The sequence below is a fragment of the Homo sapiens genome, chromosome 7 (genome assembly GCF_000001405.40).
Source record: "Homo sapiens chromosome 7, GRCh38.p14 Primary Assembly".
Taxonomy (NCBI): Eukaryota; Metazoa; Chordata; class Mammalia; order Primates; family Hominidae; genus Homo; species Homo sapiens.
Window position 1 is genome coordinate 108,333,813 of NC_000007.14, and position 23,689 is coordinate 108,357,501.

Consider the following 23,689-nt stretch of genomic DNA (forward strand, 5'->3'; position numbering starts at 1 on the left):
GCTACAGTTCATCCTACTAGTCACTCATCTTTCTTTTCTTAGACAACACTATGGGAAATAATAACATTCTTCACAAAACCCCCATCTCTATTGTATCAGGCTTTCCTTACAGTTCTTGTTTGAATGTGTGTGTCTCTGTGTGTGTGTCCGTAATTTCAACAAAGTTGCAATCTTAAATTTTTAATTTTTGAAGTCAACATTATGTCACAAATATTTTTCATATTGCTAACAATATTCAGAATTGTAATTTCAAGTGAACACACAATATTCCACTGAAATGCTGTGCCATAATTTTTGTCACAACATCAAGAATTTTTGAACATTTTCCTTAAAAAATAGAAGTAGAAACATGTTTATGGATGTGCCATTACACATTATTTTTTAAATGGTTGCATTGTTATTTCTAGCACAACCAGAAGTGTATGTGATCACCTTTACATGCTGCAGAACTGGAAATTACCTTAAATATTTCAAACAGTTCAATAGATGTAAGACATGATAATCTTCCCAAACACCAATTAGCATCTATTACCCACAGGTTAGATTTCCATTGCCTATAGAATAAAATCTTTGGTCTCTTATTCAAAATCCTTTACAATCCATCCCCTACCTACGACTCCGAATTGATCTTCCATGGGTCTTAGACTGTTCCAGCTAAACAGGTCTACGGTACCTACCCCTAACACACCAGGCCCATTCCACCTGTTTTCTCTGTTTGCAGACACTGTTCTTTGAATGTGTTCCTCACTCCTCTCCCTCTGTTCAAATCCCTCTCTTTCTTCAACAACAAGATCCAAGTCCATTTGCCCCATGACAATTTAGCTGAGGAACATGGCCATCAGATCACAGTCCCACCTGAGATGAGAAAGCCAACATGGGGGCATGGCCCACTGGACAGCGTGTGCCTGTGAGTAACCAGACACACCAAGGAGGGAACAGGCTACCAAACATCACCCTCCCACTTGATTTCTTCAGATGATTTACAAATAGAAATAAAATAGTATCTAGTAGTCAAGCAGTAATAAAATGGTATGCCCTGATATATCTAATATTTTAGATAAGATGAGAAATGAGAACTAAAGAGACAAATTAGGAAACAGGAAATGTTGACCATTTTGCTCTTTATATTATATTAAGACAGGGTTATGTAATAAAAGGTAGCATTTGTTGAACCCTTCTATCACTGTTTTAGGCATATTTACATCCATTAATTAACAATCTTTATAATAACACTGATATATTTCCAACTACTATTGCCATTTTACAGAAGAGGACACTGAAGGTCAGAGAAGTAACTTGCCTCAAGCCACAGAGCAAGAAAATTATGGAGCTGGAATTTGTTAGTATATGTAGTGTTAGTGCACTCTCTTTCAAACCACAGATATTGTCACATAAGAATTTGTATTAAATCTCATGTTGACCATGCCACACAAATCATAATCATAGGCTTATTAAAGCAATAAATGCTTCTGCCACTGATGTATTTTCCTTTACAGAACACATAAGAGATTCCCTATATTTTTCCTCATAAAATAAAAAATAAAGAGAAGATAAGAGAGTGGAAACTTCCCTTCCAATTCCTCACCTGGCTGGTTCATGTCCTGTGGATCTGTTCCACCTGCTTTTTTTTTTTTTTTTTTTTTTTTTCAGTTTTCACTGCAAAGACAAGTGGCTGGCTGGCTGGCTGCCAACTAAGGGAGAGTAATTTGAAGAATGCTTGGGAGATCTCAGATTCAACTATTTTGATCTCTCTTCTATTCCTTAGATGCAGAAAATGCCTACCTGCTAATCTCACACAGAAGTCCCCAAAGACATATGTCCTTAGAGCTAATTCCAGGGTACTGAAGTGAAAAAATGCTTTTTATTGGATTTCAGATGTATTTTTCCTCCAGCTGAACCACAGAAATCTTACTGTTGCTATAAACTGAACAGTGTCCTCTCGTATCTCAAATTACATTCCTGGGAGAGATTCTAGCTCACACATAGGACAGATCCATCACTCTATTAACTATCTACTGTTTCCCTCTGTTGCTTAATTCTTTTTTCCCCTCTATTTCTATTTTCCACAGTCAGTAGAAAGCACTACCATTGATGGGGATTACTATAAAGAACAAAAGAATATTTTCAATTACCTATCTTTAAATCAAGACACTACTTCTGAAAATGCCTCTCTCCTATTTGATTTGAAATGACCTTACACATAAATGGACGTCCAGAGCCCCATTTTATTCTGGTCTATATAAATTGTTAGTTGTCCATGACCCCTGCTTCATTCAAGTGACCTTTCTTCTAATTCAGGATTTTGCTGACCTTATTTTCTATAATTACTCATATTTAAGAGGTTGTCTAATACCATCCAACTCATTTACATAACTGAGGCAGGCAAATCCAGGACAGGACCTTAAGCTTCTTCTACAAGTCCAGTGCCCCTTCCCGGCTGTCTAATCCAATTTGATGCTTTTTCTGATAGAGCTTCTGTTATTCGGTATGTTTGCATCCATTTGTATGCACCCAGAAGAATGGACGCAGTGTTTACAAAAATAAAATGATAAAAAGCACAGAAATTTTTTAAAAGAATGAAAACCAGAGCGATTAGCTGATTTAACATTATCTGTAGGAATTAACAACTAAAACGACTTGCCTTTCAAACAACATTATGAATTTTTTTAAATCATGGGTATTGATTACGAATATGTTAAAAGTTAAAAGGTTCTCCTGATTTTCTTTCACTACCCTCAGTATTGTGCCAGCGAAGAATATAGTTTTCCAGATTCTTCTAGGGTTCACTAGAAACTTTAAAATGTTCTAAAAGATTTTATCTGAGGAAACCCAACCTAATTCTATAGAGATCTACTAAACCTAAGCTCTCTCTTCATCCTCACACATTTCAAAAATTTTCCACACACATTGTAAAATTCATGTAAACAACTGAATGTAAAAATTATTTTTAGGTAAAATATAACTTTCATATCTCTTAAGTAATAACAATAAATAATTACAAGTAAATAACTACAGTTAAATAGATTCCTTTTTGAATTAAAAGATAATTTTAATTAAGATAACTAGATAAGATAGAAAATTCTTAAGAGTTCTTCCAATAAGTTATTGATAAGAGCAAGTAATAGTAAAAATAAATGTATTTTGCATTATAGTGAAAAACTGGTTAACACAGCCTGGCATGGTGGTTTATGCCTGTAATCCCAGCACTTTAGGAGGCTGAGGAGGATGAATCGCTTGAGGCCAGGAATTCAAGACCAGCTGGCCAACATGGTGAAACCCCATCTCTACTAAAAACAGAAAAATTAGCTGGGCTGGGGACCCACACCTGTAATCCCAGCTACTCAGGTAGGTAAGGTGGGAGAATCGCTTGAACCTGGGAGGCGGAGGTTGCAGTGAGCTGAGACTGTGCCACTGCACTCCAGCCTGGGTGACAAAATGAGACTTCATCTCAGAAAAAAAAAAAAAAAACCACGGCTACCCTCTTTGGGTCCCCTCCCTTTGTATAGGAGCTCTGTTTTCACTCTATTAAATCTTGCAACTGCACACTCTTCTGGTCCATGTTTGTTACGGCTCGAGCTGAGCTTTTGCTCGCCATCCACCACTGCTGTTTGCCACCGTTGCAGACCCACTGCTGACTTCCATCCCTCTGGATCTGGCAGGGTGTCTGCTGTGCTCCTGATCCAGCGAGGGGCCCATTGCCACTCCCAATCGGGCTAAAGGCTTGCCATTGTTCCTGCATGGCTAAGTGCCCAGGTTCATCCTAATTGAGCTGAACACTAGTCACTGGGTTCCACAGTTCTCTTCCATGACCCACGGCTTTTAATAGAGCTATAACACTCATCGCAAGGCCCAAGATTCCATTCCTTGGAATCTGTGAGGCCAAGAACCCTAGGTCAGAGAACACGAGGCTTGCCACCATCTTGGAAGCAGCCTGCCACCATCTGGGAAGCGGCCTGCCACCATCTTGGAAGCCGCCCGCCACCATCTTGGGAGCTCTGGGAGCAAGGACCTCCCCGCAACCCAGTAACATTTAGCGACCACGAAGGGACCTCCAAAGCGGTAATATTGGACCACTTTCACTTGCTATTCTGTCCTATCCTTCCTTAGAATTGGAGGAAAATACCGGACACCTGTCGGCCGGTTAAAAACGATTAGCGTGGCCTCCGGACTTAAGACTCAGGTGTGAGGCTATCTGGGGAAGGGCTTTCTAACAACCCCCAACCCTTCTGGGTTGGGAATGTTGGTCTGCCTGGAGCCAGCTTCCACTTTCAATTTTCCTGGGGAAGCCAAGGGCCGACTAGAGGCAGAAAGCTGTTGTCCCAAATTCCCGGCAGTAGCCGGTTGAGATCATGGCGCAGCCAGAAGTCTCTACTCAACAGTCACCCATGCATGCGCCCCTATCTTTCCTTCTGACCCATACCTCCTGGGTCCTAACCATGACTTTCTTAAAAGGGTAGCCCCAAAATTCTCCTTACCTCTGAATCTACTTCCTCTGATCCCTGCCTCCTAGGTGCTAATGGTTCAGACTTTCATTTCCTCTAGCAAGTTGTATCTCCAAAGGGATATAAGGAAGCTCTACACTGTATCCTTAGGCATCTAGGCTCTAAACCCAGGGAGTCTTGTCCCTGATGTCCCTACCGATTTAGGTATACAGTTCTCGACATGGGCAGTTATGTGGGACCCATTCCCCACCACCCTTGCCAGGGCCCCAAGTTTGTAAATGGCTAAGAGAGGAAAGTGAGAGAGAGAGAGACAGAGTGAGACACAGAGAGAGGGAGAGACAGAGAGAGAGACAGAGAGGAGAGAGACACAGAGAGGGGAGAGACACAGAGAGGAGAAAGAGGCAGAGAGACAAAGAGGGAGTCAAAGAGAGAAAGAAAGAAAAAGAAATAGTAGAAAAAAAAGTGTGCCCTATTCCTTTAAAAGCCAGGGTAAATTTAAAAAACCTATACTTGATAATTGAAGGTCTTCTCCATGACCCTGTAACACTCTAATACTACCTTGTTCTCAGTGTAAACAAGGGTGTAGCCTGAAAACACTGAGACCGCTGACAACCCATAGCTTTCCTATAAAAAATCCTTAACCCAGTAACCCGCAGATGGCCCAAATGCATTCAATCTGTAGTGGCAACTGCTTTGCTAACAGAATAAAGTAGAAAAGTAACTTTTAGAGGAAACCTCATTGTGAGCACACCTCACCAGTTCAGAATTATTCTAAGTCAAAAAAGCAAAAAGGTAGCTTACTAACTCAAAAATCTTAAAGTATGGGGTTATTTTGTTAGAAAAAGGTAATTTAACACTAATCACTGATAATTCCCTTAACCCAGAAGATTTCCTAACAGGAGATTTAAATCTTAATTACCATACAAAGGTCTGACCAGACCTAGGAGGAACTCCCTTCAGTACAGGATGATAGATGGTTCCTCCCAGGTGAATGAGAAAAAAATCACAATGGGTATTCAGTAATTGATAGGGAGACTCTTGTGGAAGCAGAGTTAGAAAAACTGCCTAATAATTGGTCTCCCCAAACCTGCGAGCTGTTTGCACTCAGCCAAGCCTTAAAGTACTTCTAGAATCAAAAAGATTATCTCAATCCTGACTCAAAAGGTTACCTACACCCTCTGTGAAACGAATTTACTTAAGAACTGTTTATGGGACTGCATCTTGATGGGGCAGCTGGGTTGTCATGAAATACTCAGGAATGCAGCCTAGCTCTAGGACTCACCCCTGAGCACAAAGGCAATGTTGGGCATGCTGGTAAAGGACCACTAGAATCCAGCAGTCCGAACCCCTTTCTTTGGGTTAAGAAAGGCGGGAAAACAGGCGCAGGACTGCTACATTGGTAAGCGTAACTAATCCAATAAGCAGAGGTCCATGGGTGGTGACACACTCTGGAAAGGAATAAGCATTAGGACCATAGAGGACGCTCTACGACTAATGCTCGTCGGAAAATGACTAGAGGTGCTGGCATCCCTATGTTCTTTTTTCAGATGGGAAATGTTCCCCCTCAAGGCAAAAACACCCCTAAGATGTATTCTGGACAATTGGGACCAATTTGACCCTCAGACTCTAAGAAAGAAACGACTTATATTCTTCTGCATTACCTCCTGGCCACAATATCCTCTTCAAGGGGGAGAAACCTGGCCTCCTGAGGGAAGTATAAATTATAACACTATCTTACAGCTAGACCTCTTTTGTAGAAAAGAAGGCAAATGGAGTGAAGTGCCATATGTACAAACTTTCTTTTCATTAAGAGACAACTCGCAATTATGTAAAAAGTGTGATTTATGCCCTACAGGAAGCTCTCAGAGTCTACCTCCCTACCCCGGCATCCCCCTGACTCCTTCTCCAACTAATAAGCAACCCCCTTCAACCCAAATGGTCCAAAAGGAGATAGACAAAGGGGTAAATAATGAACCAAAGAGTGCCAATATTCCCCGTTTATGCCCCCTCCAAGCAGTGGGAGGAGGAGAATTCGGCCCAGCCAGAGTGCATGTACCTTTTTCTCTCTCAGACTTGAAGCAAATTAAAATAGACCTAGGTCAATTCTCAGATAACCCTGATGGCTATATTGATGTTTACAAGGGTTAGGACAATCTGATCTGACATGGAGAGATGTAATGTTACTGCTAAATCAGACACTAACCCCAAATGAGAGAAGTGCCACCATAACTGCAGCCCGAGAGTTTGGCGATCTCTGGTATCTCAGTCAGGTCAATGACAGGATGACAACAGAGGAAAGAGAACGATTGCCCACAGGCCAGCAGGAAGTTCCCAGTGTACACCCTCACTGGGACACAGAATCAAAACACGGAGATTGGTGCCGCAGACATTTGCTAACTTGCATGCTAGAAGGACTAAGGAAAACTAGGAAAAAGCCCATGAATTATTCAATGATGTCCACTATAACACAGGGTAAGGAAGAAAATCCTACCGCCTTTCTGGAGAGACTAAGGGAGGCCTTGAGAAAGCATACCTCTCTGTCACCTGACTCTATTGAAGGCCAACTAATCTTAAAGGATAAGTTTATCACTCAGTCAGCTACAGACATCAGAAAAAACTTCAAAAACTTAGAAACCCTATTGAACTTGGCAACCTTGGTTTTTCATAATAGAGATAAGGAGAAGCAGGCAGAACAAGACAAACGGGATTTAAAAAAGGCTACCGCTTTAGTTATGGCCCTCAGGCAAGCAGACTTTGGAGGCTCTGGAACACGGAAAGGCTGGGCAAATCCAATGCCTAATAGGGCTTGCTTCCAGTGTGGTCTACAAGGACACTTTAAAAAGATTGTCCAAATACAAATAAGCCACCCCCTCATCCATGCCCCTTATGTCAAAGGAATCAATGGAAGGCCCACTGCCCCAGGGGACAAAGGTCCTCTGAGTCAGAAGCCACTAACCAGATGATCCGGCAGCAGGACTGAGGGTGCCTGGGGCAAGCGCCAGCCCAACCCATCACCCTCACAGAGCCCCGGGTATGCTTGACCATTGAGGGCCAGGAGGTTAACTGTTTCCTGGACACTGGCTCGGCCTTCTCAGTCTTACTCTCCTGTCCCGGACAACTGTCTTCCACATCTGTCACTATCCGAGGGGTCCTAGGACAGCCAGTCACTTGATACTTCTCCCAGCCACTAAGTTGTGACTGGGGAACTTTACTCTTTCACATGCTTTTCTAATTATGCCTGAAAGCCCCACTCCCTTGTTAGGGAGAGACATTCTAGCAAAAGCAGGGGCCATTATACACCTGAACATAGGAGAAGGAACAACCGTTTGTGGTCCCTTGCTTGAGGAAGGAATTAATCCTGAAGTCTGGGCAACAGAAGGACAATATGGATGAGCAAAAAATGCCCATCCTGTTCAAATTAAACTAAAGGATTCTGTCCCCTTTCCCTACCAAAGGCAGTACCCCCTTAGACCCGAGGCCCAACAAAGACTCAATAAAATTAAGGAACTAAAAGCCCAAGGCTTAGTAAAACCATTCAATAGTCCCTCCAATACTCCAATTCTAGGAGTACAGAAACCCAATGGACAGTGGAGGTTAGTGCAAGATCTCAGGATTATCAGTGAGGCCGTTGTCCCTCTATACCCAGCTGTACCTAACCCTTATACTCTGCTTTCCCAAATACCATAGGAAGCAGAGTGGTTTATAATCCTGGACCTTAAGGATGCCTTTTTCTGCATCCCTGTACATCCTGACTCTCGATTCTTTTTTGCCTTTGAAGATCCTTCGAACCCAACGTCTCAACTCACTTGGACTGTTTTACCCCAAGGGTTCAGGGATAGCCCCCATCTATTTGGCCAGACATTAGCCCAAGACTTGAGCCAGTTCTCATACCTGGACACTCTTGTCCTTCAGTAAGTGAATGATTTACTTTCAGCTGCCCGTTCAGAAACCTTGTGCCATCAAGCCACCCAAGCACTCTTAAATTTCCTTGCCACCTGTGGCTACAAGGTTTCCAAACCAAAGCTCAACTCTGCTCAGAACAGGCTAAATACTTAGGGCTAAAATTATCCAAAGGCACCAGGGCCCTCAGTGAGGAACGTATCCAGCCCATACTGGCTTATCCTCATCCCAAAACCCTAAAGCAACTAAGAGGGTTCTTTGGCATACCAGGCTTCTGCCGAATATGGATTCCCAGGTACGGCGAAATAGCTAGGCCATTATATACACTAATTTAGGAAACTCAGAAAGCCAATACCCATTTAGTAAGATGGACACCTGAAGCAGAAGCGGCTTTCCAGGCCCTGAAGAAGGCCCTAACCCAAGCCCCAGTGTTAATAAGCTTGCCAACGGGGCAAGACTTTCCTTTATATGTCACAGAAAAAACAGAAATAGCTCTAGGAGTCCTTACACAGGTCCAAGGGACAAGCCTGCAACCCATGGCATACCTGAGTAAGGAAACTGATGTAGTGGCAAAGGGTTGGCCTCATTGTTTACAGGTAGTGGCGGCAGTAGCAGTCTTAGTATCTGAAGCAGTTAAAGTAATACAGGAAAGAGATCTTACTGTGTGGACATCTCATGATGTGAATGGCATACTCACTGCTAAAGGAGACTTGTGGCTGTCAGACAACCGTTTACTTAAATATCAGGCTCTACTGCTTGAAGGACCAGTGCTGCGACTGTGCACTTGTGCAACTCTTAACCCAGCCACATTTCTTCCAGGCAATGAAGAAAAGATATAACATAACTGTCAACAAGTAATTGTTCAAACCTACGCCACTCAAGGGGACCTTTTAGAGGTTCCCCTGACTGATCCCGACCTCAACTTGTATACTGATGGAAGTTCCTTCGTAGAAAAAGGGCTTCAAAAAGTGGGGTATGCAGTTGTCAGTGATAATGGAATACTTGAAAGTAATCCCCTCACTCCAGGAACTAGTGCTCAGCTGGCAGAACTAATAGCCCTCATTCAGGCAGTAGAATTAGAAGGAAAAAGGGTAAATATATATACAGACTCTAAGTATGCTTACCTAGTCCTCCATGCCCATGCAGCAATATGGAGAGAAAGGGGATTCCTAACTTCCGAGGGAACACCTATCAAACATCAGGAAGCCATTAGGAGATTATTATTGGCGGTACAGAAACCTAAAGAGGTGGCAGTCTTACACTGCTGGGGTCATCAGAAAGGAAAGGAAAGGGAAATAGAAGGGAACTGCCAAGCGGACATTGAAGCAAAAAGAGCTGCAAGGCAGGACCCTCCATTAGAAATGCTTATAGAAGGACCCCTAGTATGTGGTAATCCCCTCTGGGAAACCAAGCCCCAGTACTCAAAAGAAGAAATAGAATGGGGAACCTCATGAGGACATAGTTTCCTCCCCTCAGGATGGCTAGCCACCAAAGAAGGAAAAATACTTTTGCCTGCAGCTAACCAATGGAAATTACTTAAAACCCTTCATCAAACCTTTCACTTAGGCACTGATAACACCCATTAGATGACCAAATCATTATTTACTAGACCAGGCCTTTTCAAAACTATCAAGCAGATATAGTCAGGGCCTGTAAAGTGTGCCAATGAAATAATCCCCTACACTACACACCATACATTTCAATCACCATACATTTCAATCCCTGTATCTTTAACCTCCTTGTTAAGTTTGTCTGTTCCAGAATCAAAGCTGTAAAACTACACATCGTTCTTCAAATGGATCCCCAGAGGCAGTCCATGACTAAGATCTACCATGGACCCCTGGACTGGCCTGCTAGCCCATGCTCTGATGTTAATGACACCAAAGGCAACCCTCCTGAGGAAATCTCAACTGCACCACCCCTACTATGCCCCAATTCAGCAGGAAGCAGTTGGAGCGGTCATCGGCCAACCTCCCCAACAGCATTTGGGTTTTCCTGTTGAGAGGGGGTACTGAGAGACAGGACTAGCTGGATTTCCTAGGCCAACTAAGAATCCCTAAGCCTAGCTGGGAAGGTGACTGCAACCACCTTTAAACACGGGGCTTGCAACTTACCTCACACCCGACCAATCAGGTAGTAAAGAGAGCTCACTAAAATGCTAATTAGGCAAAAATAGGAGGTAAAGAAATAGCCAATCATCTATCGCCTGAGAGCACAGTGAGAGGGACAATGATCGGGATATAAACCCAGGCATTCGAGCTGGCAATGGCTATGCTCTTCGGGTCCCCTCCTTTTGCATGGGAGCTCTGTTTTCACTCTATTAAATCTTGCAACTGAAAAAAAACCCCTGCAAAAACCAAACCAAAATGAAAAACTGGTTAACACGTCTAATATTTCCATAACTCATTTTTTGCTGCTATGAAGAGTAACAGCACGTACTACTCTCCCAAAGTGAGCAATTAATAATAAAGTTCAATGAACTGTTTATACTCCATACTGACATTCTGTCCCATTAAATACCAATTCCCTAAGTATTTATTAAATGACTATTACATGAAATGTACCATTTTAGGAGCTATTGGGTATAGATAGAAATTTTATAGTGGGAGAAACCACAGGAATTATTTAGCTTATATTTCTTACTTCATAGTTGAGAAAAAAAGTACATAGAGACAATTGCCTAGTATGGGCAATAATGTCCTAACCTTATTTCCAAACAAAAATACATTTTAGAAATTAGGGCATCATTCTTGCTGCCTTTCATTATATGAAGTCAAGGATAAGGGGGAGGGAGAAGATAAGAAGGAAGGCTTGCTTCTGACTCTATCAATAGAATAGGATTCAACTCAATCTGTGGAAGTTTTACTGAAACAAATTAGCAGGACCTGATGAACAGGGGATAAAGAATGTGGGTCCCTGATAAATTCAATATTTTATAAAGAAATAGTGGAATGATGAAGTGAATTCAAATAGGAAAATTGATTGTTTTACTGTGTATATTATATATGGACATAAAAGAGGCCTGGAATGAGAACAGAAAGTCTGGGTTCCAGGTTCATCTTTGAACCTTAGTGAACTGTGTAATGCTGGCAAGTTACTCAACTCAGAAAGGTTCCTCAGTTATTCAGTAAGATGATTGTCTAGGTAATTACAAATATCAAATCTGGCAGTAAGTTCCCAAAATCCCATGGGAAGTGTTTTGTCTAGAAATAAGGAAAACCTATCTAAATATTAAAGCGGTTCAAAAATGGCAGGCATATCATTACAAAATAGTGTTTATAAGAGCAACTTCTACCTTGAGATTGATCTAAATATCCTCAAAATCTTGCTATGAACTCTTTGTGTCCTCCCCCCACATTCATATAGTGAAACCCTAATCTTCAATGTGATAGTATTCAGAGGAGCAGCCTTTGGGACATAACTAGGTCATGAGGGTGGAGTCTTCATGATGGGATTAATGGCCATATAAGAAAAGACATGACAGAGGTGAGCTCTCCACCATATGAGGATACAGCAAGCTGGCCATCTGCAAACCAGGAACAGGGCCTTCACCAGGAACCCCACCAGCTGACATCTTGGTCTTGGACTCCCTACCTTCCAAAACTGTGAGAAATAAGTTTCTATTGTTTAAGCCACCCAGTCAATAGCACTTTGCTACAGCAGCCTGAGTGAATTAAGGCAGTCCAAAAGCTTTGTCATACGCTGCAAGCTGCACAAGTCTAGCAGGCCTAGAACAATGGGTGTCTGTGGGGGAGCCCAGGAGTCGATGGCAGAGAGCAGATAAAAGCAAGCCATGCCAACTGCTGTGGGCTGTAGGAGCCTCTGATGGGCATTAAGCATGAGATGATCCAATTTTTATTTAGAAAGGTTTCTTCGATGGCTGTGTGGGGGACAGATTTGAGAAGTTGCTACGGAGACTAGCTGTGGTAGCTCAGGTAAGAAATTATGCAGGCTTCAAGGCAGGCAGTGGGGGTGGCGAGGAGACAATGACTGTGGGATTTACTTAAGAGGCAGTGTCAACACAATTTAGGAGGAGTGGGAGGAATTTTGAGATATCACATCCAATCCGTTATTTTACGGATGACGAAACTTTGGGCTAGACAGATTAATTTTCTTGTTTAAGAATCGAAATTTAACTACTGGCAAGACTAAAATTATTTGAGTCTCCTGATTTCCAGGGCTCTTTTTCCTCCCAACACAGTATGCTTTTTTACATGTTAAAATGTTTTTGCATGTTGAAGTATATTATCCAGTATTAGCCATCTTCGTTATTAAACACTTCTGTATAGGCTATTCTGTCATCATGCATTACTCCATATTTCTACTCACTACATGGTTAATTAGCTGGTTAATTCCATTAGGCTAATTTAAGAAAATAATAATATACAGGTTTATTTTGAGACTTAAACATTCTTTTATCCTACCTCCTACTCTATTGTAAATAGAGGACAAAAAGTGCTGGGTTTAATGTCACCTCTTACAGTGATGGTATTTTTCTGGCCAATATGCATGAGATTTGGGAAGATTAAGTGGCAGAAAACCTGGAGCCAGGGTACAGACAGGCTCTCTAACATCTAGAGCATGCTGTCCAATCCAGTAATCACTAACCACAGGTGGCAATTAAGCCCGTGAAATGTGGCTGGTCTGTATTGAAACTACATGAGTACATACATGTTTGGATTTTGAAGATTTAGTAGGAAAAAAGCAGAATATGAGCTACCTCATTAATTGTTTAATATTCATCATATGTTTAACACTTTAGATTTATTGGGTTAAACAATAAACATTAAAATTAATTTCACCTATTTCTTTTTACTGTTTAAAAATATATCTACTAGAAAATTTAAAATTACATATGTGACTCATATTATATTTCTGTTTTTTTTTTTTTTTTTTTTTTTGAGACAGACTGTTGCTCTGTCGCCCAGGCTGGAGTGCAGTGGTGCAATCTCGGCTCACTGCAAGCACTGCCTCCCGGGTTCATGCCACTCTCCTGCCTCAGCCTCCCAAGTAGCTGGGACTACAGGCGCCTGCCACCATGCCTGGCTAATTTTTTGTATTTTTATAGAGATGGGATTTCACCGTGTTAGCCAGGATGGTCTCGATCTCCTGACCTTGTGATCCACCCGCCTCGGCCTCCCAAAGTGCTGGGATTATAGGCGTGAGCCACCGCGCCCGGCTTATATTTCTGTTAGACTGTGCTGCTGTAGAAATTTACAATGTATCTCAAGGAAGTAAGGCATTCATAAATAACATCACAGGGGCCAGGTGAGCAGTAAAAGAAGCTATGGAGATAAACTCTGTCTAGGCTAATCAGAATTTACCTAGGCTCCAATCCCTCAAAAGCAGAGAAAGAAAATCCCAATAAAATAAAGTCCTGGATTCCATTTCAAATTCAGAATGAGAACCATCCCCTGAGGATTTGATCCCCAAAAAAATCCTTCTAAGGATGTATATATTCCTTAACTAATAATCCCTAAACCCTGCAATTCAGGAGTGGAAGTTGTATTTTCCTAACTCAAAGGGATCCAGGATATGCCTGATGAGGGGTTCCTTTAAGTGAGAATCTTTTGCCTATGAGGGCCTTGCAGAATGTTTTGAGCAGCTTCCCAAAAATGTGAGGAATGCCTCAAGGCTGGCTACACAAAGCGCTCTCCTTGGTCCTGAGACCTGTCTTTGGTTGAGCTCAGACTCTGTTCCCCAGCCAGTGAACTGAACCCCTCCACCTTAGCCCTGCCCTGCTTTATTTACTCTGCCTAAACCCGCCTCCTCTCCACCCCCATACTCTGTGCACATCCCAATCACTGCACTCACCATGTTCTAGGAGGGTATATTTATACATTCATCTGTCCCACAGGATGGAGCTCCTTGAGGCTAGAACAGCATTCTGTATTCATCTTTGTGCCCCAAATACGCAGGTAAGAAGTAGGCACTCAAAAAATGAATAAATGTCTACGTAATACATGTAACTGTGCTACTTTGTGATGTGTCGTATCTCCTTTGCTGGGCAGGGAATAAATTTGAGAAAAAGATAGATTTAAGATGTGATTTTCTTGTGGGTAGAGATGTGCATGCATGTGTGTGTGAGTGAGTGAATATATGTGTGGGAGACACAGTGATAAATTTCAGAGGAGGGGCAGAGCCAGGGCAAAGACCCAGAGTAGGTAACAACAAGGTATGTTCAGAGCTTGACAAGTTCTGTTAGGCTGAGCCTGGGGGTTGTGAGGGAGGAGTCAGAAATAAGCCTTATCTGCCAAGTAAGGAGATTGGCTGTTATCCTTGGGCAGGGAACAGGAGCTTCAGAAAGATCTTATTTAGAGGACTGACAGGATAAAAGGAGTATTTTAGGGAACAGTGTGCTGCAGGAGAGGATCAAAGGCAAAAATAGCATTTAAAAAGTTACTAGGGTATTAAATGAGGGGGAAAGGCTCCCTGGGCTTGATTTTTGAGGCAGAGTTTGCAGAAAATAAGAATTGGGGCCGGGCGTAGCAGCTCATGCCTATAATTCCAACACTCTGGGAGGCCGAGGCAAGTGGATCACTGGAGGTCAGGAGTTCGAGACTAGCCTGGCCAATATGGTGAAACTTTATCTCCACTAAAAATACAAAAAATAGCTGGGCCCTGTAGTCCCAGCCACTCGGGAGGCTGAGGCAGGAGAATCACTGGAAAACCCAGGAAGTGGAGGAAGCAGTGAGACGAGATCGTGCCACTGCACTCTAGCCTGGGTGACAGAGTGAGACTCCATCTCAGGAAAAAAAAAAAAAAAAAGGAAGGAAAGTCTTTAGGGGCAGCCAAGGAATGTATGAGCTATCAGGATGGGGGGGAATGTATTGGCAAGACAGGATTTAGGGAAGTTTTGCTATGTGATGCGCTGTGTAAAATCTCTATGTACAAAAACCTAAGTATGATCGACATTATTTTTCCAAGGATTTCACAATTGGGCTGATGAGTAATAGAGTGTGACTACAGCCTAGAAACTGACCAAAGAGAGCACTGGTTTGCCAAGTTTTAGGTTGGTTGTATTGTTATTACTGCTCTGAGCCTCTCAGCAGTTTTGACTTCACTTATTTAAGTCACTATTCTTGTTACTGCTCTTTAAATTTGTGTAGTTATGAACTCTTTTTTTTTTTTTGAGACGGAGTCTCACTTTGTCACCCAGGCTGGAGTGCAGTGGCATGATCCCGGCTCACTGCAAGCTCCTCATCCTGGGTTCACACCATTCTCCTGCCTCAGCCTCCCGAGTAGCTGGGACTACAGGCGCCTGCCACCACGCCCTGCTAATTTTTTGTATTTTTAGTAGAGACGGGGTTTCACTGTGTTAGCCAGGAAGGTCTTGATCTCCTCACCTTGTGATCCACCTGCCTCAGCCTCCTAAAGTGCTGGGATTACAGGCATGAGCCACCGTGCCTGGCTTAGTTATGAACTCTTAAATCTTGTTCTTAGTCAAGGAGCCAGCCTATTTTTAGATCTTATTTACTATAATGTGTATTTCATCTTTTTATTATTAAAAAGAACATTATTAATGGTTTGATACCACTTTTGAATAAATAGGAAGCACTCCCCCTCACAATATGACGTTTCTTACTGTGATATTTCTATTTCCCTGCTTTAAAGCACAATAGTCTCTGACCCATCTCCTTGTTTCCACCCTTATCCCTACACCGAGGTCATAGCGATCATTTAAAACAGAAACAGATTATACATACTGTTCAAAACCCTCTAATAGCATCACATAATATCCAAAATAAAATCTGAATTCCTTGTCATGGCTAAGTTCTACATGACTGGGTTCTTTTCTATGTGATCAAAGGCATTCCCTACCTTTCCTCACATCGGTGATCACGCTTCACCCAAAATGGCTCCTTTAGTTCCCTGAATCTATCAAATTCTCTCCTGTCTCAGGGCCTTTACACCAGCTATTCCTTCCACTGGAGAGCCTTCCCTCAGATATACCTATGCTTCAATCCTCAACATTCAGGTTTCTGCTCAAATGTCACTTTCTCAAATGTTCCCTCTATACTCTCTGAAATGGCGTTCCTGCTTTCACCTCCATAACCTTACTCTGGTGTTTATTTATCATCTAAACTCACTGTTCAACCATCCTAAGATGCTCATGGTGATAGACATTATCAGTGTTCCTCTGGGATCCCCTTGGGACTCATCCTTCTGGGAACAGTGATGGCTTCCTTCTCTGTAAGTATCTGTGACTCTTTACTCATCAGGTTTTCCTGGAGTGCTCAGCCTAGGTGCGAGGATAGGCCTGAAGAACTAGGAGCTGACACATTGGCTGAGTTGATGTCTCAGTCAATGACCAATGGCAGTTTGTATATAAATATCCCAGCTGCCTTAACCACTTGGGTGGGACAATATTGAGACACATTCTAAACCACCTCCCGAAGCTTGCAGTAGGATTGGTTACCAGTTGCCCACAGTGGTTACCTTTCATTATTTTGCCCTGACTGTCTTTCTTTATTTTTTGTCTCACATACCCACTCCCCTGTTGGTGCCTCCAAAAAAAATTACTTGCACTCAAATGCTCATCTCAGAGTTTGTTTTGGGGATAATCCACCTTAACTTATTGTTTTTCTTTTTTTTCTTCTTCTTTCTTTCCTTCTATCTTTTTAAATGATTTAACATATTTGAAATCAGAATCAATTTCCAGTAGACAGCTTGTCATAATTTAGTTGGCAGCATCTTTCTTTTCATGATCTTACATAAATTTGGGTACTTGTTGATTGGGATCCCCAATAGTATATATGTTATATACACAAGTTTGTCTGTTTCATTCTTAATTCTTGGGAATGTCCCTCATATGCTGAACAGAGCCTAGCACAGAATAGTTGCTTTATAAAAATATTTGATTGAATGTGGAATTGAGGGGTGCTACGATTTGAATATGTTCCCCAAAGTTCATGTGTTGGAACCTAATCCCCAATGCAACACTGCTGACAAGTGGGACCTTAAAGAGCTAATTATGTGACTAGATTAGTGATATTATCTTGGGAGTGGGATTCTGATAAAGGGATGAGTTTGGCCCCCCTCCTCTCTCTTGCCCTTCTGCCTTCTGCCAGGGGATAACACAGAAAGAAGGCCTTTACCAGATGCAGGCCCCTTGACCTTGGACTTCCTAGGCTCCAAACCTGTAAGTCTTTGTTCTTTATAAATTACCCAGTCTCAGGTATTCTATTATAGCAACACAAAATGGTCTAAGAAAAGGTGATAGTATCACCTCTCTTCAACAGCCACAACTTACTCCCCAGAGACATGGGTCATGGAGGTCCCTTACAGAACAGACTAGCTTCATCACCAAACTCTGGAGGGCCAGGAGGCAACACTGGTAGATGCAAGAAGCAACAGCACTATTGGACTGATTGGATCAGGGCTCTCTCCACTGAGTATAAGATTTGGGATAGGCTTTGGGATTGGAGAACCTAAAATGTCATATTTATTTCACTGTCTTTTTGACAACTCAGGAGAAGGAGGGCTGAACCCATGGAGGGAGATACTGGACTTACTGCTAAGATGACAGCCTTAAATAATTAACTAGAGATTTATTAAGATGAAACAAGAATTGTAACTCATGATTGTAGAGCAGGTCATATTGACCACTTTTTTTTTTTAAGTAAGCTGGCTAAGGATATTTTTGAAACATGATGAAATACACATTTAACAAAAGAAAATATTTGTCTTTTTGCATTTCCAGTGCAAACACTACAGTGCAATTATGTTGTTTGTACAGACCCATTAGTCATCCATAGCAAGGCTACTAAAAGACAATCTCACAGAATGCAGAGACATCTGTGCTGTTGCCCTGAGAGTGCCTTAGGGCCTTGGGGACCCCTCTCAAAGCAGAGATGAAAAGACCACTCACTCCCTGACTGCAGAGTCCTTAATGCCTGAGTAGCACTAACAACAAAGCCACCATTATACAAAGTATTATTATTATTTTAAGAATATTCCTTCCTCTAAGAATTGACCTGAGATGACTTATTTCTACACAGCTCATCAAAAGCTTACAAATTTAGGTTGCCAGTCAAAATTGTGTATTTTGCTAACTTGGAATGCAAGATATTGCATCCTATTGGCAAGTCCCTGGAGTCCACCAGTCCATTAAAATAATGAGGGTTGTAATGTTTCCCCAGCAATATTAAGAGCATCTTAATTACTTAATCTCCAGTGAGTGGCATACACATAATTTTTATGCATAATCTAATCAAAGAGCTACTGAACAGTGTTCTGTGTTTAAGTCAAAGAACATTTTCCTTCAAAAGTGAGATTTGGTTGGCCAATATCAGAACTACTAAAGAAAGTAAATACGGAGTATCAGGTCTGCCTGGATGCTGGAAAGGTTGCTCTGCCTGTGTTTTTGTAAATTGATTTACAATTCTATGGAGGAAAAAGATTTTTTCAAATAACATTCTTGGGAATTGCTATAAAAAATAACCACATACAGAAATGTTTTTTACTTATTTTGTAAAATTGTTACGACAATGTTTTACTTGACAAATATCAACAGAATAATGGTGGTTAATTTTTCCTGAAAATCAACTTTCATTCCCACTTGGGGGAAAAAAATCTGTTCCTTCCTTAAACATCCTCATTTCAGTCAATAGCATGACCCAGTTGTTTGAACCATAAAGCTAAGAGTCCTGAATTGTTCTCTTTTCCCCAAACCATTTATCTACAGTAGCCACAAATAGCTATAAAATATAAGTTTAAAAAAACCCTAACACTCACCAATACCTCTAATTCATCAGTAAATCTCATTGATTATGCCTCAAAATATATTCCAAACCTATTCATTTCTCTCTAAGCCTGCATGCCACTTTACACCAAGCCACTATTTTTTTCCCACACATGTATTTTTTTAAATTATACGAGTGACATGTGCTCATTGTAAAAAAAAAAAAAAAATCCAAACATTACAGAAATACCTCTCTTCCCATGGCCAACCCTGATCATACTTCTCAGAGATAATTCTTCTTGTTTCTTGTCTTGAACATCATAACAACCTCCTAGCTGCTTCCAGTGCTGTGTTGGCCTTCTGTATCCTTTTCTACACTGAGCACCAGAATGATGTCTTTAAAATATAAACCAGGTTATGCCACTTCCATTTTAGAATCCTAAATCCTGTCACTGATGTATTTTTCTTCTTCTTTCTTCTTTCTTCCTTCTTTCTTCTTCTTTCCTTTTTTAATTATTTTTATTTTTATTTTGAGACAGGGTCTCACTCTGTCACCCAGGCTGGAATGCAGTGGTGTGATTGTGATCCTCCCACCTTAGACTCCTGGAGTAGTTAGAGCTACAGGCATGTGCCACCACACCCAGATAATTTTAAATTTTTTTTAGAGAGACGGGCTCTCATTATGTTGCCTAGGCTGGTCTTGAACTCCTGGGCTCAAGCAATCTTCCCGCTTCAACCTTCTGAAGTGCAGGGATTACAGGCATGAACCACTGCACCTGGCCTTCCATTTTCTTCTGTATGATTTATTGTCTGTTCCTTGCTACTAGAATAAAGTCTTCATGAAAAGAAAGACCTCTTCTTATTTTATGCTATGTCCCCAGCTCTTAGAACACATGGCAGGTGTACAATTATTTGTTGAAAGAATAAATGAATACATGAATGAGTTTTCCACCATGTGCTAGGCATTGTGCAAAGCACTTTACAAGCAATGTTGCTTTTGATCTCTAGCAACTTCATGAGACCAGGACCATTATAATCTCCATTGCACAGAGGAACATTGGGTTCATACACTAGTAAGTGGTAAGTACAACCACTCCACATGAGTCCAAGTGTGATGTTGGATTGGTCGTTTAATGTTTTAAAGTTTTAGTTTTCTCTCTCTAGTTATCACATACATGTCCTTCCCAATTTCTTATATAAATCAGAGAATCCTTGAAAATAAATCACAGAATCATCCAGCCACCAGTTACCTTAGCCCTTAAGTCTAGCTCCCAATTCCACTATATATGAATTATCCAACAAGGAAATATCCAACAATGCAAAAATGTATAAATATAAATAGGATTTCCAAGAAATATATAAATGGTTTAACATTACAAAATATACTAAAGCAATTCACCATACAAAAGAATTAAAGGGGAACAACTACATGCTCCTTCATTAAATACTCATTCGAAGTGACTACTCATTATCTTAGCCTAATAAAAGACATTTATCAAAAACTTACAGTAAACATCCCAGTTTAGAGTGACATGTTAAAATCAAGAACAGGAAAAGGATGCCCATTATCACTACTTCTACTCAACTAAAGGCAGGTAAGATAAAAGGAATTAAAGGTAGAAATAATGAAATTAAGAGGCAGTCAAAACCATAAATATTCAGACATTATGATTAGCTGCAAAGAAAACTCAAGAGCATCTATAGACATATAGATAGAATTCATAGAGATTTAGCAATTATGCTGGATAAGAACAACATTTAAAAAGCAATTTCAGGCTGGGCGTGGTGGCTCATGCCTGTAATCCCAGCACTTTGGGAGGCCAAGGTGGGTGGATCACCTGAGGTCAGGAGTTCCAGACCAGCCTGACCAACATGGAGAAACCCCGTCTTTATTAAAAGTACACAATTAGCTGGGCGTGGTGGTGGGTGCCTATAATCCCAGCTACTCGGGAGGCAGAGGCAGGAGAATCGCTTGAACCCAGGAGGCAGAGGTTGCAGTGAGCTGAGATCATGCCACTGCACTCCAGCCTGGGCAACAAGAGCGAAACTCTGTCTCAAAAAAAAAAAAGCAATTTCACTTCTGTATATCACTAACAAACTGTTATAAATGTAAACTAAAATAATACAACATACAAACTATCCAGGAATAAATATAATGAAAGATGCGCAAACCTATTGTGTAGAAAATTATAAACTTTTATTGAAGGGTTTTAGAGAGCTCTGCTCCTTGATAAGAATTGAAGCCTTATTATCATAAAGATATCAGTTATCTCCAAATTAATCTATAAATTCATTCAATTCCAAAGTCCCATGTAATTTTTCCATGAAATTGGATAAATTGATTCTAAAACACATATTAAAGAGCAAAGGGACCATGGATCTCTAAATGTGCAAATATGATGGAAAGATTAAGAAAAGGTCTGAAAGAACAGATGTGAAATTGAGAATACTTGTTATCCCTGGTGAGGAGCATAAGTTTAAAGAAGACGTGGGCAACAGAAGTGAAGAACTTTTATTTCTTGTCTATGTAATTATGAATTACATTTTTAAAATAATAATAACACATTTACAGATCACCTGAGTAATATACAAAGTACAAGGGGATGAAAGATGCTGTATGATTTATAAAGATATCAGCTAGAAGCCCAAGTACAAAGAGAAAAAATGATGTATACAATAGTACCCCCAGCTTATCCATGTCATCAACTATGGTCTGAAATTATTAAATGGAAAGTTCCAGAAATAATCCATAGGTTTTAAATGGCATGTCATTCTGAGCAACATGATGAAACTCTGTGCTGACCTGCACCATCTCACCTGGCAAATGAGTCTTCCCTTTGTCCACTGTACTGTGCTGTAGGCTCTACCACCATGTTAGTCATTTATATGATCTATTCTTGACATCCAACCATCATCATGACTCCATGATCCAAGATCAGTCAAAGCAGATGATCACCATTCTGAGGTATGGCCAAAAGGGCAATGATAATCTGTGGCTACATCACAATGCCTACGTTACTCACCTCGCTTCATCACATCACGTAGGTATTTTATCAACTCACATCATCACAAGAAGGGTGAATACAGTAATACAGTACAGTAAGATTTTTTTTTTTTTTTTGAGATGGAGTCTCGCTCTGTTGCCCAAGCTGGAGGATGGAGTGTAGTGGCACCATGTCGGCTCATTGCAACCTCTGCCTCCCAGGTTCAAGCGATTCTTCTGCCTCACCCTGCTGAGTAGCTGGGACTACAGGCATGTACCACCACATCTGGCTAATTTTTGTAGTTTTAGTAGAGACAGGGTTTCACCATAGTGGCCAGGCTGGTCTCGAACTCCTGACCTCGTGATCTGCCTGCCTTGGCCTCCCAAAGTGCTGGGATTACAGGCATAAGCCACTGTGCCCAGCCACAATAAGATATTTTAAGAGACAGAAAGACCACATTCACATAATTTTTATTACAGTATGCTGTTATAATTGTTCTATTATTATTAATCTTTTACTGTTCCTAATTTATAAATTAAATCTTACTATAGGTATTTATGAATAGGGTAAAACAGTGTATATAGGGTTCAGTACTATCTGCAGTTTCAGGCATCCACTAGAGGTCTTGGAATGTATTCCCCACAGAGAAGAGGGGGCTACTGTATACCTTTTTTACAAATGTCCCAACAGCAGGATGTTCATGGCTGTGGCCTAACCTAAAAATCTGTTTAACGAGGAGCTATAAAAAAATTGTTCTTTTTTTGAGAGAGAGAAAAAGACTGTTTTTTAAGAAAATAATTATTACAGCCTGCCGAAATACAGCTATGTAGACCAAAGAGGAGCCAGGTGGCTTGACTTATATTAGTTTATAAAAAGCATACACAATGAATTAGAACTCCATAGAGGTTGACGGTACCCAAGTCAGAAGACAATTTTAGCACAGCCTGGAGCTCCTACAGAGCCCTCTGCTATAATGAAGGCATCATTATTTTGTGTTACCCCCAAAATTCATATGTTGAAATCCCAACCCTTAACGTGATGGTTGAGGTGGGCCCAAAGAGATGGGCCCTTTGGGAAGTATTTAGGTCATGAGAGTGGAGCCTTCATGATGGAATTAGTGCCTTCGTAAGAAAAGACAATGGACCACACTTCTTTTCTCTGTATTCTCTGCCATGCAAGGATACAACTAGAAGACCGCTATCTGCAAACCAGGAAGGGGACCCTCACCAGACACAGAATCTGACAGCACCCAGATCTTGGACTTCCCAGCCTTCCAGTCTATGATATTCTATTATAGTAGCCTGAACTAAGACATGATGCAGGAAAAGAAGAGGGCAAAAGTCTCCATTGGGAGCTTTACTTTGCAAACAACATTGTAAGCATAAAGTATGTACTTCATGGGCTTTGGTTTTATTGTCTTTTTTTTAAAGTTCTGTTCAGATTTTCATTATCCCTAAATCATTTCACAACATGAGAGGATTAAAAAGTACTCTTTTGTTAGGTGGGGCCAACTTTTTTTTTTTTTTTTGAGACAAAGTCTCGCTCTTGTCCCCCAGGCTGGGGTGCAATGGCACGATCTCATCTCACTGGAACCTCCACCTCCCGGGTTCAAGCAATTCTGCTTCAGCTTCCCGAGTAGCTGGGATTACAGGTGCCTGCCACCACGACTGGCTCATTTT

The 23,689-nt window shown here is 41.2% G+C and overlaps 1 protein-coding gene across 98 annotated transcripts in view, besides 1 other annotated feature; it reads right to left on the minus strand.

Moving 5' to 3' along the window:
- NRCAM (neuronal cell adhesion molecule) overlaps nt 1–23,689 on the minus strand; it is a 309,072-nt gene that overhangs the window by 186,164 nt on the left and 99,219 nt on the right. The window lies entirely within an intron of this gene.
- Nucleotides 13,880–14,080: a silencer, noted in NCBI's record as "peak6683 fragment used in MPRA reporter construct". NCBI's record gives its function as "represses an SCP1 promoter by STARR-seq MPRAs in K562 erythroleukemia cells {active_cell/tissue: K562}" and the evidence as "EXISTENCE:reporter gene assay evidence [ECO:0000049][PMID:32103011]".